This window comes from Homo sapiens, chromosome 11, assembly GCF_000001405.40.
Source record: "Homo sapiens chromosome 11, GRCh38.p14 Primary Assembly".
In the NCBI taxonomy this organism is placed as follows: Eukaryota; Metazoa; Chordata; class Mammalia; order Primates; family Hominidae; genus Homo; species Homo sapiens.
Window position 1 is genome coordinate 108,616,123 of NC_000011.10, and position 7,139 is coordinate 108,623,261.

Below are 7,139 nucleotides of genomic sequence, written 5' to 3' on the forward strand. Positions count from 1 at the left end.
CTACTTGGGAGGATAAGGTGGGAGAATAGCTGGAACCTGGGAGGCAGACCGAGCCAAGATCACGCTGCTGCACTCCAGCCTGGGTGACAGACAGAGACCCTGTCTCAAAAAACAAAACAAAACCCAAAAAACAAACGGGCCGGGCGCAGTGGCTCACACCTGTAATCCCAGCACTTTAGGAGGCCCAGGTGGGTAGATAACCCGAGGTCAGGAGTTCGAGACCAGCCTGGCCGAGATGGTGAAACCCCGTCTCTACTAAAATTACAAAAATTAGCTGGGCACGGTGGCAGGAGCCTGTAATCCCAGCTACTCGGGAGGCTGAGGCAGGAGAATCCCTTGAACCAGGGTGGCAGAGATTGCAGTGAGCTGAGATCGAGCCATTGCACTCCAGGCCGAGTGATAGAGTGAGACTCTGTCTCAAAACAAAAAAACAAAAAGCAAATAATTCAGGCCCTTTGCTTTTGTCTATATGTAGGTATGCTGCCTATTATTTACCTGAGAAGCAAAACAAACTGGATATTCCAACTGAAAATGTGACTGTTATGACTCATAATTCCTGCTGGATTTCAAATCCTATTGTCTTATGATTACCTCATTGGAGTTGTGTGAATCACCTTGTCTTCCGTGCGTTGACTAACTAGAAAGAACCTCCTGGTTTCTCCTGAGAGATTGCTTTCTTTTTGTTGTGGTCACCATCACCATGACACTGCAATAGGGCGATCACATTCCAGAGCAGTGGATGGTGTACTAAGCCAGGAGCCTGAATTAGGGATAGCATAATTCCATCCTATTCCTTAAATATTAGGTGAGCAGCTACTCAGTGTAATGCTCAGTATAGTACTCCATGGTCTTTTAAAACTTTGCAACCTGGCAGAGGAGTAGAAAATGTAAGGGAACAGCTGAAAAAATGGGCCAAGATAAAAGGTTTAATCTTCAAACTTTCAGTGTTAATCAAGCCCCTCTTAAATTGAGATGAGGACTGACCTAAACACAATTATTTTCCCTTTTTGGGATAGGAAATCCTAAGACAGTTCCCAGGGCTTGAGGCTATCACTAAGAGCTACTTAAGAGTTTCTGAACTATAAGATCTGGCGTAATTAGCCAGGCGTGGTGGCTGCCAGGGCCTGTAGTCTCAGCTAATGGTGTGTGTTGTGGGGAGTGAGAGGATAAGGAGGGAGGATGGAATTGTTTGAGCCAGGGAGTTCGAGGCTGCAGTGAGCTATGGTTGGGGGCCCCTGCACTCCAGCCTGGGCGACAGAGTTGAGACCCAAGATCCAGTCTACATCCCTCAAATTTTTCATGATGCCCAATGTTTTCCTTTGTAAGCAGGGCTTAGATTCCAAATAGATTCCACTAAAACTGTGAATGAGAAACAAGGCAAAGTCTTGTTCTCCTTCTCCAGTGTGTTCCCCTCAATGCTCTAAGAGCATTATTTGTTAATGGAACATCATGTTTGGGTACAAGGGGAGGCGAAGGGAAGAGGGAAGGAAGGAGAAGGCAAGGAGGATGACTAAAGGTACTTCAGTGGTTCAGAAAGAGGTAGAAGATTTACCTGTTGGCTACTGCCTTGTTAGCCTACTAGATGCAGATGCTGTTTGTGGGCAGGAAAAGCTTGTCATCTTGCAAAGGTGCACAGGAGGCAAGACTTTTTTTTCCCTATGTCCTTTCTGTATTTTCTGTTAACACCAGATGCACACCAGAGATGTTCTAAGCAGGTTAAAAGTGGCTTGGGATTATATCTGATTAGCAAAGAGTTAATGAATTTGTGGCAAAATTCTGAGTGAATTAAAAAAGAAAGTCAGCTGCAGCATAAGCTTCCTAAGCCACTTATGCAGGATGCTTAAGGACAGTCTAACCTGTTAGAGAATCATTACAAGGTATATACCACTCTATCCCTTTCCTTACCTCTTGTAAGCTTCTGTGGCATAATGAGACTTCATGTTTATTTTAGTGTATATATTTGTTGGAGTTACTAATAAAATAAGAAATTAAAAGAGAACATTTTTAAAAAATTCAGATACGTTTGAATAGACAAAAGAAAGAGGCATTTGTTTAGGGATTAGAGGTAGGTGGATGGGGGTGTGTATGCCCCCACATACTCATTTGTGGAATTTGTGATGCATTTTTAAGGAGGAACAGTCCTGGTAACCATTAAGAAATATTTCTGCCAGACACATTTGTTTTCCTAGAGTGTTCTTAGGACAGTATTCTGAGAATATTTCAGTCTGCTTCCACTTAGCACTTGAAATACACAAATCCTGAACAGAAAAGGTTCACATTGCGTAGTCCCCTGCCTGAAAAATAATCATATCCAGTTTTCACTGGAGTTTCTGGGAAAGCTGAAAATTTCACTTCTACAACTCAAGTTTTACCCAGAATCAAATACAGAAACCTTATAAAGAAACATGAATTTAAAAAATTAACTATATTGTGTTATTTCCTCTATTCCCTTCCCCCTCCCTCCATGTAAATAAAATTGGTAACATCACAAACAGTAGTTATTCTTTTGGTAAATATGATTCATGTCTATAGCAGCCCCTTGTGAAATGTTATTTCATACTATCTAATTCTCATGGCTGCCTGAGGCTGGTGGTTGAGAGATGATTATCCTTATACATGGAATGTTAGATGAAATCTGGTATCACTCTGGCCACTAATATAAATGTGTACTGATGCTGTCCGAAAATGGATGGTCTACCTCACATGGCTTTCATGATCTGTAAGATAATCCTTACTGTTCCTATCATTGTGTGTCTGTGAATGTTTTCTCTGTCTCTGTCTGCTAAGTCAAAGGCTATATACATTTTATATATATGTTCATGTATTTATGTATAGATCTTTTGTGTCTACATATCTATGTAGATCTATGATTTTTTGCCTCAAATTCTTGAATTTTATATCCATTCTTTAGGAATCAAATCTGATGGCTTATTGTTTATCTATACATATTTGTTTTTTATTGAGTATAGACTGCTTGTCTTCCTTTTGTCCACCAAATTAATATCCTACAAATAGATGAGTTGTTTAACAGTCATTGTTATTGAAAATTAATTTTCAGTATCTTGTTGATAGTGACTGCAATCATAAGCGTCACTCTCTCCAACCCAAAATAGTACTGCCATCTGTCTGTATAATCAGAGGACTGGCCCCAGGACCCCTGCAAATCCCCAATCCCCACATACTCAAGTTCAGCAATCCACCCTGTAGAACCCCCATAGATGAAAAGTTTACCCTGCGTATATCAGGATTTCCCATCCCAGGAATACTGTGTTTTCAGTCTGTTCTTGGTTGAAAAGAATCTCATGTAAATGGATCAGCGCAGTTCAAACCCCGGTTGTTGAAGGGGAAACTGTATGTGGATTTTGACAAAAGTGTCCTGGATCTTTATAGCCTTTCTGTGTAGAAATATGTTTTGCTCTTCTTGTACCTTGTAACATGATACCATCTGGCTTTTACTAGAGTGTCGTTTATGGCCGTGGTGGAAGCTCTTAGTCTAACATTGGGTCAAGAATAGGCATGGAAACTCCCAGACATGGCAAGGCCATCTTTGAGATTTCTGGTAGGATAAGGAGGTGGAGCTTCTACTCTTCTTGGGAAAATTCTTTCAGCTAGTTCTCCTCTCCCCTCTTGCCAGTGGTTGGGGGAAGCAGGACACCTCTTCTCCCCAAGGGGAAATGGAGCAATTTTTTTTTATTATAAAAGACCAGATTCCTTGGAACATATCCTCGTGGAGAAAAAAATAACTCTATCTATTAGATAAGTAAAATAAATTCTGTTCTAATATATAAACAGCCATATTCTAATAGGTCAGAACTATTTTTCTCTATTTTACAGATGAGAAAGGGTAGACTCAAAGAAGTTAAATTTCTTACTCAAGTTTACATAGCTATTATGTATTATTGCAATTTTTGTAGGTAAAATTGAAAAAGGTTATATGACAAGCTCATATCATTCAACCTAATAGAAAATCCAGGGCTGCAGTGCATGGACTCTATCTCCCACCCTAGAGTCTTATCTTATGTTGAAGTGAACTAAATATGGCCTGAGAAGGACTCTGTACTTCTATATTTGAGTCCTTGTGGAGAACCATAACCTAGCTTAATAGGCAGACAAAACTGAAAACTAAACTTAGGAGTATGCACCTGTAACAATAGCTGAGTGTTGGTCAATCCCAGCAGCCATACTTCAACCACTCATAGACTGCTGAGTGTTCAAACTGCGTTCAAATATGGCAAACACTGAGCTGTAACCAATCTCACTGTTTCCGTACCTCATTTCCGATCCCTGTACGTCACTTTACTTTTTTTAATCTATAAATTTGTTCTGACCACGATATACCCCAGGAGTCTCTCTGACTCTGCTGTAATTCTGAAGGCTACCCTATTCACAAATTGTTTCCTTTTTTTTTTTTTTTGCTCAACTAAACTCCATCAAATTTGACTTGTCTCAAGTTTCCTTTTAACACTTACATACCACTGTTTCTTACTTGGATCTTTAATGATGACTTGAATTGTTTTAATTTAAATGTTACTTAATATGTACAAACAAAAAATTAGGTACAAACTTCTGATTCATGTAGCTTTATTAAACTATATGGGCAATAATTTTTTTAAACTTAAAAATTAAAAAAAGAAAACTAAATAACCTAAAAATCTATTTACCAATATGTATGTCATGAAACAGAGGGTATAGTGTTGCTGAAAGAAAACAATGAACTAGGTTTTTAAAAAAATCAGCCATTGGTTACTTTAATGAAATATTCATTTTAATACTGTATCCTCCCGATGCAACGCTAATGAATAAAACACACTGTTTTCAGAATTTTTTTAACTGCATACTTACTACTATACATAGTAGTCATGAACTGTTGAACTTCTGTGTACAGAAGTGAAATTTATGTAACCTATCTACTCATTTATGACAATATGCCTTTTATAGTATTTGCTGTGTGATGACTCAATTCTTCTACCAGTTATCTCTATCTGACTACTTGTAAAACTTTCTCTCACTTCATGCCTCCACTTGGATTGAAACCATCATTCATATATTACATTTGCTTCTTGTGTTTTTTTCTCATTGGTTTATAACAATCAAAGTAGTTCATGACTCCACTGTATCATATCATTTTCATACAAGCAAATGGAAGTCTCAATGGATTAACTTTTCTATAAAACTAAAGTTTTTTTCTATGAAATTGCCTTTAATTTTGAATTTTCACTTCAATGAAATAAGTTTGATTTTGGTAAAAGAATGAAACATCAGTACTACTTTGAACACAGTTAACTGTCATTTTAAAATCAAGACATAAAAGCAACCACAGATGCTTGCCAAGAAATTAAAAATTCAATGCTAAACATGTAGTTCTAACAACAAAGAGGACTAAGATAACACAGAATCTTCTCTCGTAAACCTCAAAATGCTGGATGCAATGTAGCTATTTAGAGGTACAATATAATTATATGTAACTACATAGAGAAAGGAAACTCCCCATACCAGAAATGGAAAAAAGATGTGAAAGCCTTGTGGTAAGCACACAGACTGACTCTGCAATTTTACACTTAGAAATTAACAATGCTATTTAAGACCATAGGTCTTAAGCCTATGCAGGGACACTGAGAGCGATGTGCCTGTGTGAAAGAATGACTAGAAGAACTCTCCCCATAGTCTCAGGGAGACTCAAAGGAAACATGTCAATGCCTAGGTTTTTGGGCAGAAAACAACATAAGCTCTTTCAAGAAATTAAAACCCCAGGTACTCCATGGACAGATGTGGAATTTCCTGTATTGTCCAGAAACTCCCCGAGTCACAAAGTTAATGTAAACCTCAACTTGACAGTATGCCAGAAGCAAAAATTAAATAAACAAATAGCTGGGCATGGTGGCTCATGCCTGTAATCCCAGCACTTTGGGAGGCTAAGGCGGGTGTATTGCTTGAAGCCAAGAGTTAGAGACCAACCTGGCCAACATGGCAAAACCCTGTCTGCACTAAAATAAAAAAAAAATTAGCCAGGCATGGTGGTGCGTGTCTGTAGTCCCAGATACTCAGGAGGCTGAGGCATGAGAATCTCTTGAACCTGGGAGGTGGAGGTTGCAGTGAGCCGAGATTGCACCACTGCACTCCAGCCTGAGTGACAGAGTAAGACTCTGTCTCAATAAATAAGTAAAAAATTAAAAAATAAATGTATTACTCTGTTTTCACGCTGCTATAAAGAACTGCCCAAGACCAGGTAATTTATAAAGGAAAGAGGTTTAATTGACTTCCAGTTCTGCATTGCCTGGGAGGCCTCAGGAAACTTACAATCATGACTGAAGGCAAAGGGGAAGGAATGAATCTTCTTCACAGGGCAGCAAGAGGGAGAAGTGCTAGCAGGGGAAATGCCGGGCACTCCCAAAACCATCAGATCTTGTGAGAACTCACTATCATGAGAACAGCAAGGGGGAAACTGCCTCCATGATCCAATCACTTCCCACTGGGTCCCTCCCACGACATGTGGGGATAATGGGGATTGCAATTCAAGATGAGATTGTGGTGGGGACACAGACAAACCATATAAATAAATAAATAAACAAACAAATAAGCTACTTTACAGGGTACTTCCAAACCCAAGGCTACAAAGAAAAAATGATCCCCAGTGAAATGACAAAATACAGGAGGAAATAATCCACCATGTGTGAAAGTTATCAGATTCAATAAACAGCAGTTATATACTCCCTCCCAAGCACTTCAGCTTATAGCACTATAAAATAAGTATGTTTAAAACAAGAGATAAGAAAGAATAGGAATTACAGGAAAATAAGATCAAAGTCCTACTTTTAAAAAATAAAATTTCTAAAAATTAAAATAAAAAAATACAGCTACACTAATTCTTAAATAGACAATTCATGACCTGAAATTTAGATCTAAGGAAATATATACAAATGTGACTCTCAAAAGCTTGAGAAATGGAAAATATGAAAGATAGTTTAAGAGATATGGAAGAAAGAAGAAAAATGTCCAGTGCCTATCTAATAGGAATTTCCAAAGGAGAGAATGAAGAGTGGGAGAGGCAGTATTTCAAATGATAATGTCTGAGAATTTTCTTAAATTAATGAAAGACATGAATCTTCAGGATAACTAATGATGGAACACCTCAAATGAAA

At 38.4% G+C, this 7,139-nt stretch overlaps 2 annotated features.

Moving 5' to 3' along the window:
• Nucleotides 307–1,506: an enhancer, noted in NCBI's record as "P300/CBP strongly-dependent group 1 enhancer chr11:108487156-108488355 (GRCh37/hg19 assembly coordinates)". NCBI's record gives its function as "activates an origin of replication core promoter dependent on BRD2, BRD4, P300/CBP, MED14 and CDK7 cofactors, with strong dependence on P300/CBP, by STARR-seq in HCT116 cells {active_cell/tissue: HCT116}" and the evidence as "EXISTENCE:reporter gene assay evidence [ECO:0000049][PMID:35650434]".
• Nucleotides 5,845–5,924: an enhancer, noted in NCBI's record as "active region_5489". NCBI's record gives its function as "activates an Ori minimal core promoter by ATAC-STARR-seq in GM12878 lymphoblastoid cells {active_cell/tissue: GM12878}" and the evidence as "EXISTENCE:reporter gene assay evidence [ECO:0000049][PMID:35858748]".